At 50.5% G+C, this 25,899-nt stretch overlaps 3 protein-coding genes across 14 annotated transcripts in view, besides 4 other annotated features; 2 read left to right on the forward strand and 1 right to left on the reverse strand.

Annotated features, from left to right (window-relative positions):
• Positions 1 to 2,455, forward strand: part of PRCC (proline rich mitotic checkpoint control factor) — a 33,281-nt gene extending 30,826 nt beyond the window's left edge. Inside the window, exon 7 of the mRNA NM_005973.5 lies at positions 2,014 to 2,455. Within this exon, the coding sequence (NP_005964.3) occupies positions 2,014 to 2,100 (87 nt within the window). The 3' untranslated portion in view covers positions 2,101 to 2,455. The remainder of the gene's footprint in view (positions 1 to 2,013) is intronic.
• Positions 6,115 to 6,616: an enhancer, noted in NCBI's record as "H3K4me1 hESC enhancer chr1:156774267-156774768 (GRCh37/hg19 assembly coordinates)". NCBI's record gives its function as "activates a minimal SCP1, AML or CMV promoter by ChIP-STARR-seq in naive H9 embryonic stem cells {active_cell/tissue: H9 hESC(naive)}" and the evidence as "EXISTENCE:reporter gene assay evidence [ECO:0000049][PMID:30033119]".
• SH2D2A (SH2 domain containing 2A) lies at positions 7,883 to 18,488 on the reverse strand. 12 transcript variants are annotated; one of them, XM_047433655.1, is made up of 9 exons: positions 18,315 to 18,488; positions 17,646 to 17,703; positions 16,677 to 16,849; positions 15,845 to 15,934; positions 15,488 to 15,656; positions 11,301 to 11,447; positions 10,843 to 11,130; positions 8,815 to 8,985; positions 7,883 to 8,213 (listed from the first exon to the last, which is right to left on the reverse strand). In XM_047433655.1, the coding sequence occupies exons 1-8, from the start codon at positions 18,323 to 18,325 to the stop codon at positions 8,818 to 8,820; spliced, it is 1,104 nt and encodes a 367-aa protein (XP_047289611.1). In that variant the 5' UTR covers positions 18,326 to 18,488; the 3' UTR covers positions 7,883 to 8,213; positions 8,815 to 8,817. The 12 variants fall into 12 exon arrangements, with proteins under 12 accessions (XP_047289611.1, XP_016858255.1, NP_001154914.1 ...); XM_017002766.2 differs by having other exon boundaries at positions 15,845 to 15,964; NM_001161442.2 differs by having other exon boundaries at positions 16,677 to 16,861.
• Positions 10,635 to 11,136: an enhancer, noted in NCBI's record as "H3K4me1 hESC enhancer chr1:156778787-156779288 (GRCh37/hg19 assembly coordinates)". NCBI's record gives its function as "activates a minimal SCP1, AML or CMV promoter by ChIP-STARR-seq in primed H9 embryonic stem cells {active_cell/tissue: H9 hESC(primed)}" and the evidence as "EXISTENCE:reporter gene assay evidence [ECO:0000049][PMID:30033119]".
• Positions 15,024 to 15,570: an enhancer, noted in NCBI's record as "H3K27ac-H3K4me1 hESC enhancer chr1:156783176-156783722 (GRCh37/hg19 assembly coordinates)". NCBI's record gives its function as "activates a minimal SCP1, AML or CMV promoter by ChIP-STARR-seq in primed H9 embryonic stem cells {active_cell/tissue: H9 hESC(primed)}" and the evidence as "EXISTENCE:reporter gene assay evidence [ECO:0000049][PMID:30033119]".
• Positions 15,853 to 15,952: a silencer, noted in NCBI's record as "silent region_1438". NCBI's record gives its function as "represses an Ori minimal core promoter by ATAC-STARR-seq in GM12878 lymphoblastoid cells {active_cell/tissue: GM12878}" and the evidence as "EXISTENCE:reporter gene assay evidence [ECO:0000049][PMID:35858748]".
• NTRK1 (neurotrophic receptor tyrosine kinase 1) overlaps positions 17,390 to 25,899 on the forward strand; it is a 66,101-nt gene continuing 57,591 nt past the window's right edge. The window contains exon 1 of the mRNA NM_001007792.1: positions 17,390 to 17,478. Within this exon, the coding sequence (NP_001007793.1) occupies positions 17,470 to 17,478 (9 nt within the window). The 5' untranslated portion in view covers positions 17,390 to 17,469. The remainder of the gene's footprint in view (positions 17,479 to 25,899) is intronic.

A 25,899-nucleotide genomic window follows, 5' to 3' on the forward strand; every position in this document is an offset into this window, starting at 1 on the left:
AGTGGCACAATTCCTTTTCTTTTTTCACAGTGGTCCTTATGCTAGATTCATTTATCTTGAAGTGGCAGGCAACTGCAGCTGCAGACCCCAGTCTACGGAACGTACCAAACAAGTCAGCTTTTTCTTGTAATGTCATGACTTTTCTCTGCTGCTTGGGAGCACTTCAGCATGACTAGCAGCACTTCGTATGGGTCTTATGGTGTTAAGATTTATGGGCTGGGTATGGTGACTCACGCCTGTAATCCCAGCACTTTCGGAGGCTGAGGCGGGCGGATCACGAGGTCAGGAATTCGAGACCAGCCTGACCAACATGGTGAAACCCTGTCTCTACTAAAAATACAAAAAATTAGCCAGGCGTGGTGCCTGTAATTCCAGCTACTCAGGAGGCTGAGGCAGGAGAATCGCTTGAACCCGGGAGGTGGAGGTTGCAGTGAGCTGAGATCGCGCCACTGCACTCCAGCCTGGGTGAGACTCCATCTCAAAAAAAAAAAAAAAAAAAGATTTATGACATTGTACGCAATGAAAAACACGAGAACTGAGAGAGCACATTTTACTGTGATATGCAACATACTAGAGAGACAAGCAGCTCCCGTGGAAATGATTAGCATTACGTGGTGTTTTAAGCAGGTACAATACTTGAGCTCACTGCAATAGCAATAAGAGGTGGCTGTGAAATTATGACAGTACAGTGTGTACTACAGTGAATTTTATGCAGTTAAGATTTAATGCTGTATCTTTTTGTTGATGTTTCTCTTGACTACAAATGGCACCATGTATGATCTGTATTTGTGTGTGTACATTTTGATAAATTTTAACTTTCTATAGATTTGTGTATATTTTATGGTAGTAATGATAAAAATAGACTAGTACCTACATATATTTTATGCATTCACAACATACCTTTTTCTTAGTTTTTTTAGTATTTCTAAGTTACACAGTTTGTGTTTTCAAGTTGTCACGAATTTCCAAAAAAGTTCTAATATATTAAATATTTATTAGAAAAAAACCCATGTATGAGTGGACCTGTGCAGCTCAAACTCATGTTAAGGGTCAACTGTATTTAGTCATTAAATATCTTTTTAAGACTTATTGAACTAAATGGTGTCAAAGATACAGACATGAATAAGACCCTTTCCTGGCCCCTTTCCTGGGAAGTGTACATTCTGGTTGGTGATTTCATGGCAAATCTTGCTTTCATTGTTTTTGTCATATTTTCACCTTCCTTTCAGGAACTCCTTTGTACTCTTTCCCTGTCTTGTGGTTTGTAGGGAAAGGATTTGAGAGTAGGATATTATTTAAACTCAATCTCTTAACCCCCACCCCAAATTCCAAAGGAGATGAGCAGGCATCAGATAACTTTTGGAGGGTCTTGAGAATCCCCTTTCTAGGGTGGTACTTCTACATTCCAGAATGTGGTATAGAGCCAGGAGTTGTTGAGATCAGAAGAAAGAAGTCATTCTTGTACCTCTCAGTTTTTCACAGCTTCAGTCATTACTTTAAAATCCTTTGAATTTCTAAGGTACCACACACTGTATTCAACACAACTGCAAAACTGTATCTCCAGGCTAAGCAATTGTTTGTTGGTGTTCTGTTTTGACTGGTCCAGAGGAGCCTTTGAGACTGTCCTCTCCTACTCTGCCGGCTGGGTGTCTAAGAGAGCTGATTGTCTTCCTCTCTAAGAGAGCTGATTTTCTTCCTTTTAGATGCTAAATTCTAGTTTTCATTTGCCCATTTCCTATTTCACCTTTTGAGTTTTAATTCTACTAGAGGAAGCACCAGGATTCTTGAGTCTTTATTTTGCTTAAACCTTGATAACTGTCCAAAGAAATGATTTTTCTTTGCTTTCTTGGGGCCTTTCCCTTTTACTTTGATAAGTCTTTCAAGGGGTTTGCAGTTCCCCCATAATCGTTTTGATAGGAGAAAGATTTTAAATTGGGAAGCTCACAGAGGCAAGAGGACAGCGTTTCTCAGAATTCCAGTTTGACCCTCCCCTACCCTTCTTCCTTGCCACAGGCCAAGGAGCGGGAGCTGGAACTGAAGAACACCTGGTCAGAGAACAAGCTCAGCCGCCGTCAGACCCAAGCCAAATATGGATTCTAGGGCTCTGGAACTGATTGCTCCCAGGATCTCCTGCCAGCCCAGCTGGCCTGGCCCCCAGCTTCACCTCTGGGACCCCAGCTGCTCTAAGCCCAGGATCTCTTTCCCCAAGGACCCAGCCCTCGCCTCTGCGAGAATGAACATATTTGATAGATTTTTCTTAACAAGTTAGAAAATTCAGCTCCTTTCTGTCCTGGAGCTAGCAAAGACTTGTGTGATGCCTCCGAAGGGGCTCTGAGTTCTGGGGTGGGAGTTTTGCTCTCTGTCAGGTGTGATAAAATGTTGAACCCTCCCCACCACCACTTTTTTTTTTTTAAACCAGGGATGTCTGTTGAAATAAAACATTCAGTCTGACAAACATTGCCTGCCCTGTCCCTGGATTTGTGTTTACCTTGTGTAAAGCACCTTCCAAATGATCTTGAGCTGCCTGATTGCTTTGCTATTTTTCCTCTCTATCCACCATCTAGCTGGGTTTGTGGCCATTGGAAACCCTAGAAATGGTATGCACAACTTTATATGAGGCAGGATGATTTTCAGAGAGGCCTGTGATCCCAAATATGTATTGCTAATCTCAGGTACCTCTGGAGACTGGGTGAAGTCAGGAGGTTTTTTCTGTAGTACAAAATAGTGTCAGGCATAAAAATCCTATCCAGCAGGAGGTAAAGTGGCAAAATCCCTGTCCCTGAAGATGATTCAGATTGACGCTGGTAGTCACTGGTCTGGATCAGTTTGGAAGCTTCACATTGAACTTGGGTGCTAGAGAGATACCCTTGGAGACTTCCAGAGCCCTAGCCTTCATTGAAGAAAGGAGGTACAGGGTCTGTAGACTCCAATTATCTGTAAGGCACTGTGACGCCCAGAAGTGGCAAGACGGATGGGATGATTCCAAAAACAGTGTGCAAATCATACTGCAAACCACCACTGAAAAATATGGCTAAGGGTACTAGGATTCCAGTAGGGCTTAGCTGCTGTGGTTTCCTGCAGGAAAGTAGCGTTGAGGAAACTCCTGCAGAGAGCATTAGATGTCAGGTGGAGGAGCTGTTGACCAGAAATAGATGCTTGAGTGTACTGTTGCAGGAAAACACTGGGAAGAATTAGTGTTTGGCAGTCCTGGTGACAGAGAGGGGAGGCTAAGGCCATAGGGGCATTTGAGGTATGTGGTGGGGACCTGGGGGTGGGAAGGAAGAGGCAGAATTTAGGAACCTCACCAAGCTTCTGGTTTTGTGTGCTGGGGTAAGTTGAGGAGTCTGTTTCTCATTAAGTACAGAGAGGGTTTCATCACTTACAGGAAAACCACCCGCTTATCTGAAATCTGACCTACTTCGGGCTGGAGCCAGACAGGGCTCCTGCATCCCACAGGGACACTCAGGCTGTAGTTGTCCAGATCCATGCATCCAGCCAAGACTTCAGCAAGGAGCTTCAACCCTACCATGCTCCCAGTATTCACAGAGGCAGTGGGGGTCAGGGCTGAGATCTGCCCCTCTGGGGCGTCACAGGTGGTGAGGTGTGCTCAGCAGGGCCTAAAATCTTAGGTTCCAATGAGTCCAGTGCTTCCTTTCTTATATCCAATATGCTACAGATGCAGCCCGGCCCATACGAGTCGCCACACTCCTGGGATTCAGTAATTCAACTTTCTCATTTTAGGGGCTGTGTCATGTTGTAGCTGGAAGTGCTCTGGGCTGGGAGGCAGAAGATGGTGAGAGGGAGACTCCCAGATCTTCTGGAAATGGACAGAATTGGGCTAGATATCTCTAAGGGTCCTCTTGCCTCCCACCTCCTTCAGTTCACTCAAGAGTCTTAGGCCACATTTTTTTTAAAGCCACTTTTTAGTCCTACCAAAGATGGCATTGTATTTGGTGGTTGGAATTTCCTGGTCACTGAGAAATAACCAACAATTAGAAAACGGATAGACTTTATTTGGGAGGGCTTCCTGGAGGTGGTAGCCTCAAGTTCTGATGAACAGAAGACAGAGACAGTAATGAGGGAGAAATAAGAGTGATAACTTGGTTAAAATTAGCATGGCAGCAACAGCCAAGGGGCAGAAGGAGAAAGGTGTGAAGGCCTTGGTCAGAAATGGATCCAATTAGCCCTGGAAGATGTTGGTGGGGCCGGGGCAAAGCTGGATGTGCAGTGTCACATTGACCAGAACAGTGGAGCTGAAGAAGCTGAGGTCTACGAGGATCAGACTTAGAACCCTCACAGAGATGATACGGTTGTCGTAATGAGGGTGTTTCAGTGCCTCTGCAACGCTGCTGGCCCCTTCGGAGGGGCCCAGCCACATCTCCACTCTAGCCGGGGTGCTGAGCTCACTGTCCAAGAAGCTCCAATGTATGGAGGAGTGGTTAAAGTTCAGTGGGGCCTGGGGGAAGTGGCAAGGATGTTGGAATACTCTGGGCTGCGTGCTCCTGTCTGCCCCTTTTTACCCCTTTCCCTCTAGGTTCAGCTTTCTTTTTCTTTTTTCTTTTTTTTTTTTGAGATGGAGTCTCGCTCTGTCGCCCAGGCTGGAGTGCAGTGGTGTGATCTCGGCTTACTGCAACCTCCACCTTCCGGGTTCAAGCGATTCTCCTGAGTAGCTGGGATCACAGGTGCCTGCCACCATGCTCGGCTAATTTTTTTGTATTTTTAGTTTCACCATGTTGGCCAGGCTGGTCTCGAATTCCTGACCTCAGGTGACCCACCTGCCTCGGCCTCCCAAAGTGTTGGGATTATAGGCGTGAGCCACCGTGCCCAGCACAACCGGCCTAAGTTCAGCTTTCTTTCAAGTGAGGACTCAGTGATGACCAGCCCCGCCCCTCCCTGAGTGGGTTCATGGGATGTGATGTTACTCTTCAGTCTCCCTGAGAAGCCCCTGAGCCAGAGTTACAGATCACCTTACTGAGACTGTGCTGCATTAGTTGAGGGGGCAGATAGGATGAAAGGGGCAGCTCAGGGGAGGCTGGAGCAGGAAAGAGCCATCAGGGTAAGGCGTGGAGCTGAAGGGGCAGGGGCTGGAGGACAAAGCTGGACCCTATAGTGGGAGCAGTTCTCTCTGCTCACAGCAAGGTCTTCCATGTGCTGTGACAGGGTGAGAGGCTGCCCTTTCACAGATCTAAGAGTGGGCTCAGCCAGAGAGGCTCTGCCTGGAGGAGGCAGGAGGAGGGATGGAATGACCATGGGAAGACTGTCGGTGAGAAATGCCCTCCCCCTCCTGGCATGTGGAGTCTCGCTCAGCATGATCGCCCCAGTTCGCTTTTACTGTACAAGTTACTCAACTTCTCCCTCCTGAGGTCTCACCGCAGCCCCAGGCCTCACCTTGGAGTAAAGTCAGCAGGATTGTGCAGGGGTGCCCCTCGTCATGGGGAGGGAGGTTCCACCACCTTGGTCTTCAGGGCTGGGCCTGCAGCTGTGGCCCTCAGCAAGACTGGGACCTTATCCTTTAGCCTAGGAGGGGCCCTGGGGTATTAAGAGGAACACTGGGTTGGGATGACAAGATCTGGTCCCTGGGCCTGACTGCCTTTGGCTCCCTGTCACCTCCCCTCTCTAGACCTCAGTTTCCTCTTTAGTTGAGCCAAATACTCTGTCATCAAGGGTCTCTGAAGTCCCTTCTAGCCCCAGCAGTATTGCTTTTCAAAGCCCTTCACTTGCACGGTCTCATTTGTGTGCAATGAGACCCTGTGCGCAAATGAGGCATTATCTCCATGCATAAGGAATGGAGGGACCAGTGTCACAGAAAAAGGGTTCCCCTGCTGAAGGTTGCACAACTAGTTAGCACAGGGTCATAACAGACCCAGGGCTCTTGACGCCATAGCTTCATCTGAGCTCCACCACCCCTTTGGTGTGTCCACCCCATGCTCTGTGGAGCCACAGAAGGAAGAAGAGGGTCCCTAGGTCCTGCTCTGCCCCTGGCTTTGCTCCTGCCCCTGTTCTGCTCCAGGCTTTCTCCTCCAGAAACATCAAGTGGGTCACTGGGCATTTCTGGTCCCTTCCCCACACCTGCCCATTCTGTTACACCCCAAAGTCTGGAGAAATCTATTTTCTGACTTTCTAATTTCTGTCTCTTGCTGTACAATAAATATGCCACTCTTTTCTGCCTCCTCCCCTGCCCCAAGGAATCAGCCACGAGGTAACTGACTCCCTGCGTCTAATCTGAGACCTTTCTGGCACTTTGAGCCTCCTCTCTGATTTCAGCAAAGCCATCTGCTCCTCCCTCCCTGCCCCTCTGCCTCCCTCCCCACCTCTCCTCTTGCTCAGGAGGACATTTAGATCTGAGGTCTAAACAAAGGGAAGTGGAACTCCAACTCTGTTGACTCAGCAACCATATTTCTCCTTAAGCTGATTAGCACTGGAGTGGAAAGAGGGGAATTGGCCAGTCACTGGAGCTGGCGCCTGGGCCAGGCTGGGGGTGGTATGGTGGTGGCAGTGCCCAGGCCTAGGGACTGTGGCTTAAGGAAAGGGTCTGGAAGATTCTCGTGCCTCAGGTAGGTACAGGGGCCCTGACTGGCGCTGATTGCCTGGACTAGCCTCTTGTAGGAATGAGTGTGAAAAGAACAGGCTGCACAGATGGGACCACAGGAGTCCCCAGGCCTGGGCAGCTCTGGAGGGGTCGTCTCTGCTCTGAGCCCTGAGGATAATCCAGGGGCAGACACAGCCCTGCCTTAGAAAGCCCCCTGTCTGGCTGGGCATGGTGGCTCACACCTGTAATCCCAGCACTTGGGGAGGCTGTGACAGGAATATAGCTTGAGGCCACGGGTTTGAGACCAGCTCTGGCAACACAGTGAGACCCTGTCTCTATAATTTTTTTCCCCCAAGACGGAGTCTTGCTCTGTCGCCCAGGCTGGAGTACAGTGGTGCGATCTTGGCTCCCTGCAACCTCCGCCTCCCAGGTTCACGCAATTCTCCTGCCTCAGCCTCCCGAGTAGCTGGGATTACAGGTATGTGCCACCATGCCCGGCTGACTTTTGTATTTTTAGTAGAGATGGATGGGGTTTCACCAAATTGGCCAGGCTGTTCTCAAACTCCTGACCTCAGGTGATCTGCCCACCTCGGCCTCCCAAAGTGCTGGGATTGCAGGCGTGAGCTACCACACCCAGCCAAAAAAAAATTTTTTATTTTAATTAGCTGGGCTTGGTGGTGGGCACCTGTAGTCCCAGCAACTTGGGAGGCTAAGGCTGCACTGAGCTATGATCGTGCCACTATAGTCCAGCCTGGGCGACAGGGCAAGACCCTGTCTAAAAAAAAAAAAAAAGTCCCCAGTCTGAGACAAAAGTAAGACCCAGGGCATATGCCAGAGCCCCAGAGTGTAGAGCTTTGCACAGGAACAGGAGGCTGGCTCTGAAGTGGGTCTGGGCAGAGAATGGGGAAGCAAGAGGGATAGGGGAGAGAATGGGGTCCTGATTGAGGCAAAGGGCCTAAGCCCAAGAGGCTGGGAAGATGAGAGGCCTGGAGCCAGTTCCGAGGGGATTCCTGTCCTCTAAGGGGCTCACACACACATCTTCCTCCTCCCGAGTCCTGTACTTGGCAGGGCGGTTGCAGAGGAGGTGAAGGGGCTGTCCCTCAACTGCTCACCTCTCTGCCCCTCTTTCTTTATGCCTCAGGTGGTATAGCCACCCCTATGTCCCTGGCTGCCTACTCAACCCATCCCAGCTAAAGAAGGAATAGTTTGCAGAGGTCTGTATTCCTGGCCTTGGTGTCTGTCAATCCTCAAGCCCCTCCACCCTCACTGCAGTGGCAGTTCAACTCCTTGCCTTCCACAGTATGAGAGAGAGAAAGTCAGAGACAGAAACAGAAGGAGCCTGGAGGACTTGAATCCCTGTAGGAGAAGGCAGTTGGTGATGATTTATTAGCCAGACAAGAATCAACAAACAAGTTCTAACATCTGTTCTCACCAAACCATTCCTCAGACAACAGCAGCATTGGACCAGGGCCCAGACTCAAAAGGCTCAGAGGGCCAAGGAAATTAGACTCCAGGAGGAGAAACCAGGACAGTGGGAGCTAACAGGGCCCTCCTTGCACACTTCTTTGCTGTCTTAGATCACCAAGGACTGAGCCATTGGATTCTTGGGATCTTCTTAGGAGGGAGCAGGCTCCGCATTTGCTTCTCTGACCTCCAGGCTTCTTTGTTGGGGGTCAGGCCAGACCTGTCAGGGGGACAGAGTTAAGCCAGGATCCACAGGAGGGGACCAATGAAGCACCCAGGCCTCCATGCAGTAGAACTCTGGAAAGTGGCCAGACTTCCTGTTTGAGGAAATCTCTGATGTTTCCTATGGACTTGAGTTTGTGGATGTGTGGTAAGGAACAAAGCACTAAACAGGGAATCAGGAAGCCTGGTTCTAGTCCTTGACCTTGGCCAAGTCACTGTCCCTCTCAGGCTATGTTTTCTTCTCCGCATAGTGAGGGAGCTGAATTTGATCACTAAGGACAAATGTAATGCTGCTCATCCTCCCGCTCTTACCCGTGGCAGACATCACTAATCAATCATGTGCTTTTTTTCTGCTGAGTTCAGATATGACCTTAACATCCTTTCCAATGCAGCACTCTAGGCAGCCACGACCAATGGATTGGAGTTGGCATGCAAGATGACACCTCTTTGCCATCCTTGCAATAGATGATGGCTGAGCTCCTTTCCAGCTTTGAACACCTATGGTTTATTCCATCCACATTTCTTGAGAAGTGTGCCAGGTGTGTGTGAAGGTCTCTGGACCTGATGCTCCAAGTTATCCTCACCAAGCTCAGACTTACCGCCTACTGAGGAGGCCCAAGGGGAAGCCATGCCTGTCCTCTGTCCTGAAGCACCTGTCTAGAAAGATTGTGGGGGAGGGTGTGTCTCCAGGCGGGTGGGGGCTGGTGGGGCAGGGGAGGGCCTTGCCCAATCACAGAGTTCTCAGAATGCAGCTGGGAGCCACCTGTATTCTGCAGAGAGAAGGACAGTTCTAGGTCACACCCTCTACCCTCTGCCTCCTAGGTGTACTTGCAGTCTCAAGACATCTGATCTGAACAGACTTTGGCTTCCAGAGAGGGTATCTAAACTCCTCTCATTCATTAATTCAACAAACATCTCCTGAGCACCTGCTCTGTGCCAGGCACTGGGCTGGGTGCTTTGGAAACAGATGGGTAAGTCCCAGCCCCTCCCTTCAGGGAACTCACACTCTAAACTAGGGAAGGGACAGAGAGAAGGAGATGGGAGGAGATGGATGTCTCAGGTGATCAGTGGCATGGCAGGTGTGTGTAAGGCACAGGGGGTGGCCTCTGAGAAGGGAAAGCTGGTCTTGAAGGATGATTAGAAAGTTGCCAGGCAGCGGGAGGATGAGGTTGCAGGAAGTTGCTATAGGCAGAGATACTGGCGGGTGCAAACCCCAGGAGGCTTGAAACCACTTGGTGAGTTTAGAGAAATGTGAATCATTCTAGGAGAATGGGAGTGGCTGGTGGTAAGGCTAAGGAGGTGAGACCCCCCACCCAACCCAAGTCTAGAGTGCTTCATGGGCCAGGCAGCTGCTTCAGCAAGACCATTCTGGCTCTTTGGTGCAGAGTGGATCAGAAGTGGCAAGAATGGTGGTTAGGAAACCAGTTAAGAAGCTCTTGGGAGCCAGGTGAGGTGGCTCGAGCCTGTAATCTCAGCTGAGGTGGGAGGATCACTTGCACCCAGGAGTTCAAGTTTGCAGTGAGCTATGATTGTGCCACTGCACTCCAGCCTGGGTGACAAAGCCAGACCCCAATGATGGGGGCTGGAGCTGGGGGAAGGAAAAATATACTTAGGAAGAGATCCAGCAGGAATGAGTGGCTTACTGGGGGAGTAAAGAGGGAGCTGTGCTGAGGGAGCCCTGGGATTCTGGCTTGGCTAGCTGGGTAGCTGGAGAGTTAGCAATCAGGACAGTGAACATGGGACCGAGCTGTTTGGAGGGCAAGGGTGAGAGCGCTGTTGGCCGTGTTGAGTTTGAGGGGCTCAGGGATGCTGGGGGGAACTGACCAGAAGCTTGGAAAAAAGTTTGGACGGAGATATGGACAGGTGACGTTAGCTCTAGGACAGCAGACGTTGGCAGGGGTGTGGGTGAGCGCGAGCAGGCTCAGGCTGAGCAGGGAGCCTGGGGCACCAGCAAGGAGGGAGGATGGGGAAGGGTCTGAGGAGGGAGGCTGGGGAAGGGCTTTGGGAGGGCCGCAGAGGCCGAGGGAGAGGGTGGGATGGCTGCTGGGGCTAACCCATGGCATGAGGTACTGACTTGAAGGGTAGGCAAGAAGACTTAGGGCTGGGGAGAAGGAAGAGGGAGACAGGGAGTACACAGAAGCAGGCTGGGAGAGCAGGGTCCCCCTCCCCTGAGCTCACTGAGATGACATAAGGGAACCCAAGTGCTCTTTTTCTCCAGGACAGCAGGGCCGTGAAGGCCAAGGGAGAGAGCCAGAGAGGCACGGGGTGGGGTCAGCCCCAGGTGCGTCTGAAGAGGGCCTGCAGGACAAGATGGACGCAGATCAAAAAAGCCTCGATGTGGGAGGTGGAGGGGCACCCTGCCTGGGGGCCTCTGTTTTCTGTGTGAGATAGGAGGGCATGGGGGCTTGACAAAGATGAGGTCTGAGCGACTCTGGGGAGAAGAGGGGGCAGCCTCTGGGCCTGGAGAAGGGAGGCTGGTGCCTGGATCATTCTGTTCTTCCCACATCACCTCACACCTCTGCCCCTTACCCTGCCCCAGGCATCCACTCTGAACACCTTCTTCACCTTCCCCCATCTACCTGCAGGGAGACCTTCTTGCACCTACCTTTCCCTGCATACCCATTTACCTGGCCTCCTGGGACAGGCCTGGACCAGCTCTTCCGTAGGACAGGGTGCCCAAGGGTGGCGGGTAGGCCCTCATCTTCCACTTCCACATAGATGTTGCTGGGGGCTTCCCCAGGGCTGCCCCGGCCCATGGCATAGAAAGCTATGGGTTCATCAGGCTCATTGTAGATAGGATTGGAGGGCTTGGGGCGTGGGGCCGGGCGGTGTCGTGGAACAGGGATTGTGTAGACTTCTGGGGGCAGCTGAGGTTTGGCGGGGATGGGAGGCTTGGGCCTGAGCAGCTGGGAGGGCTGGGAGAGAAGGTGAGGCCAGGGAGGAGTGGGGTGAGGGAGGCAGGGTTAAAGCCCCAGCCTAACTCCCAGCCTGAGCCTCTGCCCCCGCTAGGCCCCTCCTCCTCCCCGCTGCCTGCACCCCCTCGCAGGCCTGTCCTCCCACTCCCTCAGCCCCTGCAGCCCAATACCTCCTTCTCCCCGGCCCCCTCTTTCTGCATCGGGACTGGGGCTTGCCCCTGTTTGATGATTGGGCTGTACTGGGGGTTTGGGTCCTGGCTTTTGCTTCCAAAGTTTGATTCTTCGGTCCTCAGGGAAAGTCCTGCAGGCTCAGGAGTCTGCTGGGAAAGAAGGAGGTCTGAGGCACTCGGTGGAGCGTTGGGGTGGGGGAGGTGATCAGGAGGACAAAATAATCCAGTCTAAGTGGAGGATGGGGGAAGGGGGAGGAGCACAGAAATTTGGCCTGGGCTGGGTTCCCTGGATGAGGAAGAGGGGGTGGTGACGGCAGGGAGACCCAGGGTTGGATGGAGGCAGTGGTAAGCTCTGGTCACAGGCCATATCTAGCATTAAAGTTTTTCTTTTTTAAGATAGAGTCTCACTCTGTTGCCCAGGCTGAAGTGTGGTGGTGCAGTCTCAGCTCACTGCAGCCTTGACCTCCTGGGCTCAAGCTATCCTCTTGCCTCAGCCTCCCAAGTAGCTGGGACTACAGGCATGTGCCACCACACCGGCTAATTGTGTTTTCATTTCTTGTAGAGATGAGGTCTCACTATGTTGCCCAGGCTTGGTCTTGAACTCTTGGGTTCAAGTGATCCTCCCACCTCAGCCTTCTTGCGTCTTAGGATTACAGGCGTAAGCCACCACACTTGGCTGCATTAAACTTAATTTCTTCTGGAACACAGGGCCAGGCCAGATTCCATTTGTGCCTGTGGTTCTGAAAATGCAACATGGCTTTACACGTCTTTAACTGAAAAATTATTGACATGGGGACCAATCTCCATGACAGCTGTGCTTGTGTTTATTTCTGTACTGCCGGTTACTTTATGGAAATATAAGCTATTTTTTTTTTTTTGAGACCAAGTCTCATTCTGTCATCCAGGCTGGAGTGCAGTGGCGCAATCTCGGCTCACTGCAACCTCCGCCTCCTGGGTTCAAGACATTCTCCTGCCTCAGCCTCCCAAGTAGCTAAGATTACAGGCGCCCACCACCACACCCAGCTAATGTTTGTATTTTTTAGTAGAGATGGAGTTTTGCCACGTTGGCCAGGCTGGTCTCGAAATCCTGATCTCAGGTGATCCGCCACTTTGGCCTCCCAAAGTGCTGGGATTACAGGTGTGAGCCACTGCGCCCGGCCATAAGCTAACATTTTTAAGGGCAGAGACCACCTCAGGAGAGAGGAGCCCCATGTGGGATGGTTCCGTCTCACAGAGGGTCTGCTTTTAGCTCCGTGTTAGCCCTTGGTCCATGAATGCTGTCCCCATGCCTGCTGCCACTGTAGGCTAAGGTCACAGGGCTTTTCTTGTGCTCCTGCAATCCACCAAGTGCATGTCTCCATCGGGAGGTGTACTGCAGATATACTGTGGAAATCAAAGAATTCTTTTTCCTGCCCTAACCCCCTCCTCTCTCAGCATCTCCTTCCGGAATAAAAAGTAGCACCTCCACCCTGCTGCCGAAACAGCACCTTAGGAGTCATCCTTGATGCCTCCACCTCCTCCCTCTTGACATGAAATCAAACACAAGTCCTGCTCCTTCCACTGTCTAAATATCGTTCACATCTGAGTACTTTTCTCCATGCACATGGCCAGCACCCTAGTTCAGGCCTCCTGACTCCTCCCCCTGCATCGTCTTGCCCTTCCAATCCACTCTCCAGTCTTCGAGCAGAGCAATCTTACAGAAACTCCCCTAGCAATCCTTGGGTGGCAGCCCATTGCCCCAGAATAAGTCAGACTCCTGAGAGCTTGAGTGACAAGACTCTGTGTGATCTCAGACTTCTACAGCTCTGCCTTCAGGCTTCTCAGGTCAGGCTGGCTCCTCCTCACCCCCAGACTTCCCTACGCCCTGTGAATCTCAGGTCTCTGCCTGTTCCTCACAGAAAAGGCAGTGACCACAGGCACTGTCCCCACTTGTTTTAACTGACCCAAATCAAGTTCTGTGAAACTCTTCTTGTCTAGGTCACCAATGACCTCCTCTCTGTCAAACCTAGTATCAATTCCACCCTCTGCCCTCACCCGCCTTCACTCACTTTCTTCGCTTGGCTTCCAGAGCATCACACTCTTCTGGCTTTTCTCCTCTTTCTGAGCGCTCTGCTCTGTTTTCTTTGTCAGTTCCCCCTCATTTCTGCAAACTCTAAATGCTGGAGACCTGGGCTTCATTTCCTTCCCACCTACACTGACTTCCGAGTGAGATTTCTCCCCTCCTAAAGGTTTTAGAGTCCATCTAAGTGCTGGTGACTCTCAATATTTGTCTGCAGCCCATCCCTTTGTCCCAGTCCCCAGACTCTGAATTCCAGCTGCCTACTTGACATCTCCATGCTGAACTGCACGTGTAGAAAACAGAACTCCTGATCACCTGCCTCCTGCCTGGATGTGTTCCTCCTAGAACTTTTCTCAACTCAGTCAATGACAAGTCCATCTTTTCACACTCCTCATCCAATCCCACAAAAACCCAGCAGCTCCACCTTCTGAGGAGACTTCCACCCTCCTCATGCCTCCTGGAGGCACCCACCTCTGCTACCCTGACCCAGGCTGCCATCATTTCATGTGAAATATTGCTCCTCCCGAAACTTGCCAGGCCATGTCACCCCTCAGCTTGTAAGTCTCCAGTGCCACCTCGTCTCGCTCAGAATAAAACTTCAAATGCATACAAGAGTCTACAGGGCCCCCCTCCCTCACCCCTCTGATCTCATCTCCTACCTCTCTATCCCTCAGTCACCGGATCCACCCATGCTAACTTCCTCTCTGCTCCCATCATTCCTCAGACACACCAAGTCTCCTCCTGCCTCAGGGCCTTTGCACCTGCTGTGCCTGCTGCCGAGAATGCTTTTCCTCCAGTTGTCTGCATGGCTCTTCTCCTATTTCATACAGGCCTCTATTCAGATGTCCGCTTACCCGAGTGGCCTTCCCTGACACCCTGTGTAGAACAGCCCCAATCCTGTCACTCTTCAACAATATTTCACATGAAATGATGGCAGCCTGGGCCAGTGTAGCAGAGGCAGGTGCCTCCAGGAGGCATGAGGAGGGTGGAGGCTGGGTCTGCTTGGAAGGTGGAGCTGCTGGTGGAGCTCTTTGGTTTTCTTGTCAGTGTGTACTCATCATTACTAGACAGACTCTGTCTTCTTTGCTTGTTATCCATATTACTCACTCGTCTGTCTCCTCCTTCTAGAATGGAAGCTCTTGAAGGCAGAGATATTCAGGTCATTTACATTCACTCCTGTTTTTCCAGTGCGCAGAAAGTTGCGTGGCACACAGTGGTCCCTCAGCACTGCCTGAACTTGTGCACCGCTGCCTGCTAGGCTAAATGGTACCCTGTATTTCTTCTTGAATCACAGTCTCCACCCTGGATTTCTATTACTTGTCTGTTTTTGCTGCTGGAAAGTAGGCTTTGTGAGTTTGAGATCCATCTGTCTGTCTTGTTCATGGGTCTGTTCTCAGGGCCTGCCAGCAGTTGGTAGGCCCTAAGTACTCCGTAAGTATCTCTTACATTAAAAAACAAATGACTAGGCTGGGCGCAGTGGCTCACGCCTGTAATCCCAGCTACTCAGGGGTCCCATTCAGGAGACCCCCGCATCCTCCCCTGGCCTCATCCTGGAAGGGCAGCCTGCAGGGGCTGCTACTGCAGCAACAGGGATGGGAAAGTAAGTAGTTGGACTTCCAGATTTCAGAAGTCAAAGCTGAAAATACCAGGTGGAAAATACCAGCATTCGAGGCCTTAGGGATAGGAGGATAATGGGGCCTAGAGGGGGGAAGCTGACTCAGGAGGCTGAGGCAGGAGAATCACTTGAACCCGGGAGGTGGAGTTTGCAGGGAGAGAAGATCGCGCCACTGCACTCCAGCCTGCGCGACAGAGCGAGACTCTGTCTAAAACAAAGCAAAAGAAAACAAAAAACAAAACCCCAAATGACTCTGTGTGCCCCTGGCCTCTCCTTGCCCCTCTGACTCCGTGTGGCTGGGCTGGTCTCTTAAGGACGGTCCCCCAGCACTCATATTTCTCGAAGGGCCTGCCACCCTCCCATGAAGATGAAGATGCCTGGGTAAGGGAGGCATGCCCGAGTGGTGTTTCGGGATGAGAAAGTGCCTGGTGCCGCGTCCTGCGCCTGGGCTCTGAGCGGGAGGGGCGCTGGCCCGAGACCCTGGGCTCTCTGGTCAGGGTCTGGGGCGCGTACCTGTCGGGCGAGGGGCTCGGTGAGCGTCTCCCCGTAGGGGCTGAGCGGGTGCGCGGTGTAGTGCAGCAGCAGGTCCTGCAGCCGCGCGTGGGCGCTGTCCTCGCCCAGCACCACGTGGCGCCCGTCCCTGAGCTGGGCCAGCAGGAAGTGGCGGCAGCAAGTCCGGCTCCTGGAGGGCGCCGTTAGGGATCAGACTATCTCCCGCTCCTCGGCCAGGGTCACCAGCGAGAGGCGTGATCCCCACCTTCAGCAGCCCGGGGAATGAGCTAAGAGCCCGGCTCCTCACGGGATCAGACCCAAGCCCCGCCCCTCCCGAGCCCCGCCTTGTGTCGCCCGGCGCGGGGCCTCGCCCCTCACCTGTAAGTCAGCACGAAGGTCACCGCGCTCTCGCTGAACCGCACCAAGTAGCACCCCTGAGGCTTGGGCTCCAGCAGCCTCTCTGCCTCCCTGTGGGTGACGGAGAGAGGGGGCCGAACCCTGCTCTGACACTTCCAGCCTCGCCTCTGTCTCCCCGGCTCTCACGAGGAACCCCTACCCCCAAGCAAGCATGCTGGAGCGGCTAGAGAAAGGCTAGGGCGGAGATGGGGAGAGAGAGCACGTGGGCGCTGCTCTCCCGCTGCAGGGATTAGGCGTGGACAGGGGCCAGGGGTCCCATTCAGGAGACCCCCGCATCCTCCCCTGGCCTCATCCTGAAAGGGCAGCCTGCAGGGGCTGCTACTGCAGCTACAGGGATGGGAAAGTAGTTGGACTTCCAGATTTCAGAAGTCAAAGCTGAACTGAGGAGGTGAACAAAGAGTTAGGGAGAAATGAGGCTGAGAAATGGAGGAGGGAGATTCTGCAAGGGTGGAAGAAGAGAGGGCTGGGAGATAAAGATGGAGTAAGCCTGGAGGGAGAGAGAGGTGGAAAATACCAGCATTCGAGGCCTTAGGGACAGGAGGATAATGGGGCCTAGAGAGGGGAAGCTGAGGTACACAGAGGGCTGGACTGGAGCCTCTCCAATGATCTCCCCTGGAGAGATGCCTCAGTGAAAGGCTAGGAAAACTCTGGGAGTGGGAGCCTGGAGTGGGCGCCTCCATCTACTCCAGACTGGTAGAAGTGGGAGCCTTCATCTATTCCTGGCAGGTGGCAGGACCCAGACCCAGGACTTGCCCTGCCCCTGTCTGGGCCAATTTCCTCCTCCATGACTCACCTCCGGGTGATGAAGCCATGGAACCAGGCAGGGGCTGCCCCGTGCTGCAGGAGCCAGTGGGCCTGGGTCTTCTGGAACCAAGCCCGGGTCTCGGCCTGCAGGAACAGGCTTCCTTCTCCAGGCACCTCCTCTGCCCTCTCAGCATTCCCTGTGTTGGAGGCAGCCTCCGGGGCCTGGGGAGATGCCTGGATCAGGGAAGAGTTCAAGGAGGGGGAAGCAGCATGATGAGTGGGCCTTCTCCTGACTTTGATCCACCTGCCACCTTCTTTTCCTCATACCCAGCCTCTCCTGTCTATTTTAGGGTACAATTGCCCAGAAAGTCCTTCCTAAAGTCTAACTTAAATCCCTTCTTCAGCTCCAGCTGTTCTGGCTTCCAGAGACTCTCCTTCCTTTGCCCTCTGGGTCCTGAGGGCTTTTAATCCAGCAGCAGTGAGCTGTCACACTGTGCTCTAGGAGGGGCGGGAAAGGCAGCACAGCCTTCCAGATGGACAGAGTCATTCCCTGGCCTGGAGGATGAAGAAACATGATGCAGGAAGTCACCCTAGAGGCCAGAATGAGGGAGGGCTTACTTCATAATATGAGGGACTGACCTAGTTCGCAGGGAAAATTATTGACTGGGCAGGAGAGAAGGACTGAGACGGGAATGTGGAATGCACTGGGCAAATGGTCACTGACACAGAGTGCAGATGCCTGCTTCTGGGACTCAATGCACTGCACCCTGGTCATCTGCGGACTCAGCCTGAGCTTCCAGAGGGCCTAGGAGCAGTAAGGGAGTGAGTGGGCAACTCGGCGCATGAAGGAGGTACTCCTCATTTTCGTTCTCTCTCTCTGTGCCCCAGCCCGTTGGCAGACCCGGATCATTCCTGCCTTCTCTTGGAGTGGCCTTTGTCCATCTGCAAGTCCTTCCCCATGGGAGGGTGGGAGAGATGAGGGAGCTGCACCACGCTGCCGCCCCAGGTTTCCACTCACCGCAGTGTAGCCCAGGTTCTGGCAGCTCCTGCGGGTCATGTCTGTGATCTGGAAGGTGCTGAAGGTTGGGATGGGGGCTTCGTGACTCCCTGTGAGCACAAAGAGGGCTGCCGGGGTTTCTCAGAGAGGAACTATGTCTGTCTCTGCCTCCCACCCCTCCTCCCAGGCTCAGGGGATCTGGAGGGCTGGGACAGTCTTAACGACAGGAAAAACGCAGAAGGGCAGCAGGGGAGTTTCTCAGGCATGAGGTTAAGTAGCCAAGGCGGCATGGGGGGCTAATGCTGCCAGAGGAGGTTGTGAGGGACACCAGGTGCCTAGAAGGAGAGGCTGGGAGTCAGGCTGGCCTTCGGATGGTCAGGGAGGCAGATCACTTCAGGGCAGGCCCTTCTTCTGGTCCAGGATCTTCTGCCTCCTTCTCCCTTCATCCTCCTGCTCCCTCCTCTCTCCTCTCTGAGAAGCCCTCAACAAACCCTGTCACCTTTATCCTCAGGGATGAGTGGGCATGGAGCCCCAGGCAGGGTTGTGGTCACCCTGCCAATCAGCTTTGCCAGCTCTGGCTTAGGGTGGGGCCCCTCATCCCTGAAGTGGGAGCTCAAGCCCAGGAGGGAGGGCAGGGGGATGGGGGTCTTTGTGCCCCCTCCCACCCATATCCTTCAACTTCACACTTACCTTGGGGACATATCTGGGCCAGGGGGAACTCCATGAGGGCAGCCTCACAAGGGATCCCAGAGCAGGGTGTGTGTATGTGTTCCGGAAAGGTGTGCACACTCAGCAACTCATCATCTCTCCTCTCACCCTGGCCCCGGGGGCAGGAAATGTCGCCTTACCCACAGCCTTAGTTCTGGCGAGGACTCACGTCATGGAAAGCCTTAAGACGATTGTCCCACCCCCGGAAGCCACGCAGCTGTAGATAGCGGTGGTATAGCGGTGGGGGGTATCTGTGTCACTCTGTGTTTAGGTGTTAGGAAGCCCTTACTGCTGCCTGACCTTCATCCCTCCAGATTCTTTCTCTGCCCCCTCACCCCAAACTAGAACTTCCCTTTCTCTCTCTCTCTCTCTCTCTCTCTCTCATCTCTCTTGGCTTCTATTTCTTTCTCTCTGGAAAATCTCCCACTCTGCCTCTTGGCCTGTTCTGAGCAGTGGGAATGGGGATGTCAACCTCAAGGATAAGCCACACAAGGTGCTTATGGATCATGCTTTGAGGAGACATGAGGAAGGGAGGGGGCAGGGCTGCAACAGGAAGGATGTGGGTCAGACTTCTGGAAGGACTTTTTGAGGACATGTGAAATCTATGAGTCTGGGCATGGTGGCTCATGCTTGTAATCCCAGTACTTTGGGAGGCTCAGGCGAGAGAATCGCTTGAGCCCAGGAGTTCATGATCAGCCCTGGGTAACATAGTGAGAGCCCATCACTATTTTTAAAATAATAATAATAATAGTAATAATAATAAAGAAATCTATAAGACAAGGGGTTAGAGAGGAGGGGGCCTGGCTTCCATCATTCAGCAGATAATGGAGCTGAGTTAGGGCAAAACCAGGCAATATTGGAGGAAGGAAAGAGAATTCCTCCAGCTAAGCAGGTCATCATTAGTATCAACACTATCAGCAGTTGTCATTAATAACATCAGTGTTGACATCTTTTTTTTTTTTTTTTTTGAGACAGAGTCTAGCTCTGTCACCCAGGCTGGACTGCAGTGGCACAATCTCAGCTCACTGCAACTTCCGCCTCCCAGGTTCAAGGGATTCTTGTGCCTCAGCCTCCCGAGTAGCTGGGATTACAGGCTTGTACCACCATGCCTGGCTAATTTTTGTATTTTTAGTAGAGACAGGGTTTCACCGTGTTGGCCAGGCTGGTCTTGAACTCCTGGCGTCAAGTGATCCACCCACCTCGGCCTCCCAAAGTGTTGGGATTACAGGCGTGAGCCACTGCACTGGCCAGTGTTAATGTCTTAAACTTTCAATGTGCTTAGACTTCCCACCATACCAAAGGACCAATCCCATTTCTCTCTGAATTTATCTTCACAAACTAAGAAGGGGACAGGAACATTATCCCCATTTACCAGAAGCTCAGAGGAGTGCCTTGGCCAGGGTCTTTCAGTGTCTGAGAAGTTGGTGTGAGTGCTGGGACTAGAAGGTAGACTTCCTTTCACTAATTTCACTGTGATTTAGGCCAAAGGTTCATGACTATGTGCTATGCACTGTTCTTGGTACTGAGAACCCAGAGAGGAAAAAAAAAACTTTGTTTCAAGATGTCAGATGGGGGAGATGGACTTGCCAAGACTTACTGTTTTTTAAAAAATTGTGTACTGTTTTTTTGCTTTTAAAAACATGCTCTAAATTTTTAATAATTTTTGGGGTACGGTTGGGTTTTGGCTACATGGATAAGTTACCTAGTGGTGATTTCTGAGATTTTAATGCACCTGGCACCCAAGCAGTGTACACTGTCCCCAATATGTAACCTTTTATTCCTCACCCAACCTTCCCCCCAAGTCCCCAAATTCCCTTATATCACTCTCATGCCTTTGTGTCCTCATAGCTTAGCTCCCACTAATAAGTGAGAACATACGATATTTGATTTTCCATTCCTGAGTTACTCCACTTAGAATAATGGCCTCCAGCTCCAACCAAGATACTGCAAAAGACATTATTTCGTTCTTTTTTTGGCTGAGTAGTATTCCATGATGCAGATATACCACATTTTCTTTATCCACTCATTGGTTGATGGGCACTTAGGTTGGTTTCATATCTTTGCAATTGCAAACTGTGCTGCTATAAACATGCGTGTGCATGTGTCTTTTTAATAGAATGACTTCTTTTCCTTTGAATAGACACCCAGTAGTGGGATTGCTGGAAATAATGGTATTTCTACTTTTGTTTTTTTAAGGAATCTCCATACTGTTTTTCATAGTGGTTTTACTAATTTACATTCCCACTAGCAATGTAAAACTGTTCCCTTTTCACCACATCCATGCCAACATCTATTTGTGTGTCTGTGTGTGTGTGTGTGTCCGTGTTTGAGATGAAGTCTCACTCTGTCACCCAGGCTGGAGTGCAATGGCGCTATCTCGGCTCACTGCAACCTCTGCCTCCCAGGTTCAAGTGATTCTCCTGCCTCAACCTCCCTTGTAGCTGGGACTACAGGTGAGCACCAACCATGCCTGGCTAATTTTTGTATTTTTAGTAGAAAATAATGGGGTTTCACCATGTTGGCCAGGCTGGTCTCGAACTCCTGACCTCAGGTGATCCCCCTGCCTCAGGCTCCCAAAGTGCTGGGATCACAGGCATAAGCCACCGCACCTCACCACATCTATTGTTTTTTGACTTTTTAATTATGGCCATTCTTGCAGAAATAAGGTGGTATCTCATTGTGATTTTAATTTGCATTTCCCTGATGATTGTGGTGTTGAGCATTTTTTCATATGTTTGTTGGCTGTTTGTATACTTTCTTTTGAGAAATGTCTATTCATGTCCTTTGCTCACTTTTTGATGGGATTATTATTTTTTTATTTTTATTTTTATTTTTATTATTTTTTTAGATGGAGTTTCGCTCTTGTTGCCCATGCTGGAGTGCAATGGCATAATCTCGGCTCACTGCACCTCCGCCTCTCAGGTTCAACAGATTCTCCTGCCTCAGCTTCCTGAGTAGCTGGGATTACAGGCATGCGCCACCATGCCTGGCTAATTTTGTATTTTTAGTAGAGATGGGGTTTCTCCATGTTGGTCAGGCTGGTCTGGAACTCCTGACCTCAGGTGATCCACCCGCTTTGACCTCCCAAATTGCTGGGATTACAGGCATGAGCCATCATGCCTGGCCTATTTGTTTTTTTCTTCCTGATTTGTTTGAGTTCCTTGAGATTCTGGGCACTGGGTGTTGTTGGATGCACAGCTTGAGAATGTTTTCTCCCACTCTGTGGATTGTCTGTTTACTCTGCTGATTACTTTTTTTTGCTATGCAGAAGCTTTTTAGTTTAATTAGTTCCCCATCTATTTATTTTTGTTCTTGTTGCATTTGCTTTTGGGGTCTTAGTCATGAATTCTTTGCCTAAGCCAATGTCCAGAAGAGTTTTTTGGATGTTATCTTCTAGAATTTTTATGGTTTCAGCCCTGAGATTTAAGTCTTTAATACATCTTGAGTTGATTTTTGTATAAGGAGAGAGATGGGGAACCAGTTTCATTCTTCTACATGTGGCTTGCCAGTTTACTCAGCACCATTTATTGAATAGGGTGTCCTTCCCCAATCTATTTATTTGTTTATTTTTTGAAACAGGGTCTCACTCTGTCACCAAGGCTGTAATGCAGTGGCACGATCTCGGCTCACTGCAGCCTCAACCTCCCGGGCTCAAGTGATCTTCTCACCTTAGTCTCCCAAGTAGTTGGGACTACAGGCATGCGCCACCACACATGGCTAATTTTTGTACTTTTTGTAGAGATGGGGTTTTGCCATGTTGCCCAGGCTGGTCTCGAACTCCTGGGCTCAAGCCATCTGCCTGCCTTGGCCTCCCAAAGTGCTGAGATTACAGGCGTGAGCCACCACATCCAGCCCCCCCAATGTATGTTTTTGTATGCTTTGTCAAAGATCAATTGGCTGTATGTATTTGGCTTTATTTCTGGGTTCTCTATTCTGTTCCATTGGTCTACATGCCTATTTTTATACCAGTACCATGCAGTTTTGATAACTATAGCCTTGTAGTTTAATTCGAAGTTGGATAATGTGATGCCTCCAGATTTGTTCTTTTTGCATAGTATTGCTTTGGCTATATGGGCTCTTTTTTGGTTCCATGTGAATTTTAGGATTGTTTTTTATAGTTCTGTGAAGAATGATGAAGGTATTTTGTTGGAAATTGCATTGAATCTGTAGATTGCTTTGGGCAGTATGGTCATTTTCACAATATTGATTCTTACCATCCATGAGGATGGACTGTGTTTCCATTTGTTTGTGTCATCTCTGATTTCTTTCAGCAGTGTTTTCTTTGTAGAGTTCCTTATAGAGTTTTCTTTGTAGAGTTCCTTGTAGTTTTCCTGGTAGAGATCTTTAACCTTCTTGGTTAAATATATTCCTAAGTTTTTTGTTTGTTTGTTTGTTTGTTTTTGCAGCTGTTGTAAAAGGGATTGAGTTATTGATTTGATTCTTAGGTTGGTCGTTGTTGGTGTACAGCAGCATTACTGACTTGTGTACACGGATTTTGTATCCTAAGACTTTACTGAATGTATCAGATCTAGGATCTTTATGGTTGAGTCTTTAGGGTTTTCTAGGTGTACCAGCATATTATTGGCAAACAGCAATAGTTTGACATCCAGTTTGATTTCCAATTTGGATGCCCTTTATTTCTTTCCCTTGTCTGATTGCTTTGGCAGCATTTTCCTAACAGATACTTACTAAAGCTTGTAGTGAGTTAGTGGTGTAGGCTGGTGCTACGGGAACCCCCCTCAGAGGCCCCCTAATTTAGCCTGTGTGTGTGTGTGTGTGTGTGTGTGTGTGTGTGTGTGTGTATGTGTAGGGGGTTGAGATGTCAGAAGACATGAGATTAAGCTGAGTTGTAGAGGATGAGTAGGATTGAAGAAGGTGGGGAAAGGTGTTTCTAGAAGAGGGACCAAGCTCAGAGTGGTGAGGAAAGGAGAAGTGCAGCAAAAAACAGACGCAAACAATGTTACTGCATTGGCTACTTCAAAATGAGCTGCAAAGTGCAGTGGCCAGTTGCTTGGTAAGCATTTCACTTGGCAAGGAGGACTTTCTTCAGACAGGGTGCAAGGTGAAATCACACGTTGGAGTAATCCACAGAAGGGAGAAAGGAGGAGCGATTTATCTGCCCAACTCCCTGGTGCTTCCCACTTCCCACTGGATAAGGTTATCCTATAGGAACCGACATAGAGGTTTCATCCTCTGGACCTTGATGTCTACTTGGGAAGCCAGATGCCATGGCCCATGTGTGATGTTTGATTTTAATCAGAAATAGAGGGGTGACTCAGAGAGACAGCCTCAACATGTGGGTGTGAAGACCATGCATTCCTAGGACTACAGCTTTGACGTCAGGCAGCTCTGGCCACAAAAAAGGGCTCTGATAGAGGCAGTGGTGGTTTGGGAGGCAGGCAGCCCTTTTGGAAATAAAGAGTCAATTAAAAGAATCTAAGGAAACATACACAATTTGTGTCCAACACGGTCCACCCCCTGTGCCCTCTCATTATGTTCAGCTCCCAGATGATAATTTGGGCTTCAGCTTGTTCTGTGCAAACGGTGACATTCCTAGTTTCTTACTTATTCCTTAAGAAGGGAGCTACAGATCCTGCCAGTCACAGGGTCCCCTTCAAGATGGTAGTCAAGAGTGTTTTTCTCTCGATTGAAGCCAGGAGTTGGAGAACAGCCTGGGTAATAAAGCAAGACCTTGTCTCTACAAAAAATAAAGAAAAAAAGAGCCAGATATGGTGGTGTGCTACTTGTAGTCCCAGCTACTTGAGAGGCTGAGGTGGAAAAATCGCTTGAGCCCAGTGGTTGGAGGCTGCAGTGAGCTGTGATCCCACCACTGCACTCCAGTCTGGATGACAGAGCAAGAGCCCATCACTAAGGAAAAAAAAAGTATTTTTCTCAAAGACCGAGGCTAAAAGATTAGAAAAAAAAAAAAAAAAAAAAGCTATAGCCTTCTTACTTGTAGCTAGTCCAGAGGCTCTAATTGATATTCGTCATTTCCCTCCTCCATTCCAGATTCTCCACCTTCAGTTAGCCCTTCATCTAGTTTGAGTTGTTTTCCTGGTAGGGTGATCCAGACCTTCGTTGCTAAAAGGTGTAGATCCCTAGTTGCCCTGTCCTTGTTGGTTGTGGTAGCAGCCCATTAACAGTCATCACTAGACACATGAAACTATTCAGAGATGTCCCAGAGAGTCCCTGGGTACAAGACATTCTCCTCCCTGACTCATGGTGTGGCAGCTACTTTAGCTCCTCATGGTAACCATAATTGATGATCCCAGCCAGTATAGGAACTTCCTTCCTTTGCCTGTTGGTCCACTGCATGAGGATCTCAAAGTGAATAGGTGGAAGTTGCTGCTACCAGTTGAATGGAATTCTTACTGTGTCATCTGGTACAATTCTTCTACGTCTGTTAACTAGGACCTCTAGCCTGGAGGATCCCAAGATGATGGTCAAGGGAAGCATGCATTCACAAATAAGTTGCTGGATGTAATAGTGAGAGGAGCCATTTCTGATTCCAGTCCTTGATATCCAGATCTGTGTATTCTGATCAGAGTGGACACAGTACAATATTGTGCGCACACCACCACATCCAGTTCAGTTTCAAGCTCCATCCTGGAGGAGAAGGCTCCAACTCCACAAAGGGGTTTTCCCCAGATGGTGCCTTCCTGAGCCTTCAACAGGCCACGCCATCATTCCACCAAGATGACTAATTATGGGTGATGGGGCAGGACCAGTCCACCCTGTGATCGCGAGCCTGTTGTTGTGCCTCTTTGCTGTGAAATGGGTTCCTTGGTCTGAGGCACTGTGATGTGGGATACCATGCTGAGAGATCAGGCATTCTGTAAGCACATGGAGGGTGCTGCTGGAGTTTGTAATCATTCTGGTGAGGACACATCACTGCTCCCTCAAAAGAGGAAGGGGTCTGATGTCATCAACCTGTTACCATATGGCTGGATGTTTTCTCTCCCTGCTAAGGAATAGTACCAGGTATAGGGCTCAGTATCAATGTGTTGCAAGCAAGTTTGGCGCTTGGCTGTAGCTCTGCACCTCAGTGAGAAGGTGTCCATGATCTTGAGCCCATGAAAAGCCACCAAGTCCACTATGTTGATCAGGCCATTGTGCCAGCACTGGGCATACAGGTGGCGGAAAGGAAAGGCTGGCTAACATCTACGGGATGAATTATCCTGCCCAGTGGGTTGTTCACTGCCTCCCCAGTGATAGATGCTCTTTGGTGGGCATAATTTGCGTCCCAAAGATCTGCACCCTGTGTGCACACTTCCATAGGCCCATCTGCCAGTGCTGGGCCTGGATGAGGCAAGTAGGTTCCTAGGGAGGCACTCATCCTTAGGATTGTGCAAATGCTCCCTAGTCCTGGCCCTGCCATACCCAATGTCTTTCTTGGACTTTCTTTTCTCCAGTCTTTTCATTTTATTCCTTTCGGAGCCCTGCCCAGCTGGCCAGGCCAGGTGCCACTTCCCTGTAGTCAGTGTATATTCTTACCCTGGACTATCGCTCCCCATGTGCAAAGTGGGGAGTGCAAAGTGACCAGCTATATGCTTGCAGCTCTGATCCC

Source organism: Homo sapiens, chromosome 1, assembly GCF_000001405.40.
Source record: "Homo sapiens chromosome 1, GRCh38.p14 Primary Assembly".
Classification (NCBI taxonomy): Eukaryota; Metazoa; Chordata; class Mammalia; order Primates; family Hominidae; genus Homo; species Homo sapiens.

What these genes read in the sequence shown, in the direction of transcription:
- SH2D2A (XM_017002762.3), bottom strand. Translation starts at nt 18,348, where the DNA reads ATGGAGTTCCCCCTGGCCCAGATATGTCCCCAAG. An exon ending in AGAACCTGGGCTACACTGCG is followed by an intron (nt 16,862 to 17,645) that starts GTGAGTGGAAAC and finishes TCCCTGATCCAG; the next exon opens with GCATCTCCCCAGGCCCCGGA. An exon ending in ACCTTCGTGCTGACTTACAG is followed by an intron (nt 15,657 to 15,844) that starts GTGAGGGGCGAG and finishes GGCGCCCTCCAG; the next exon opens with GAGCCGGACTTGCTGCCGCC.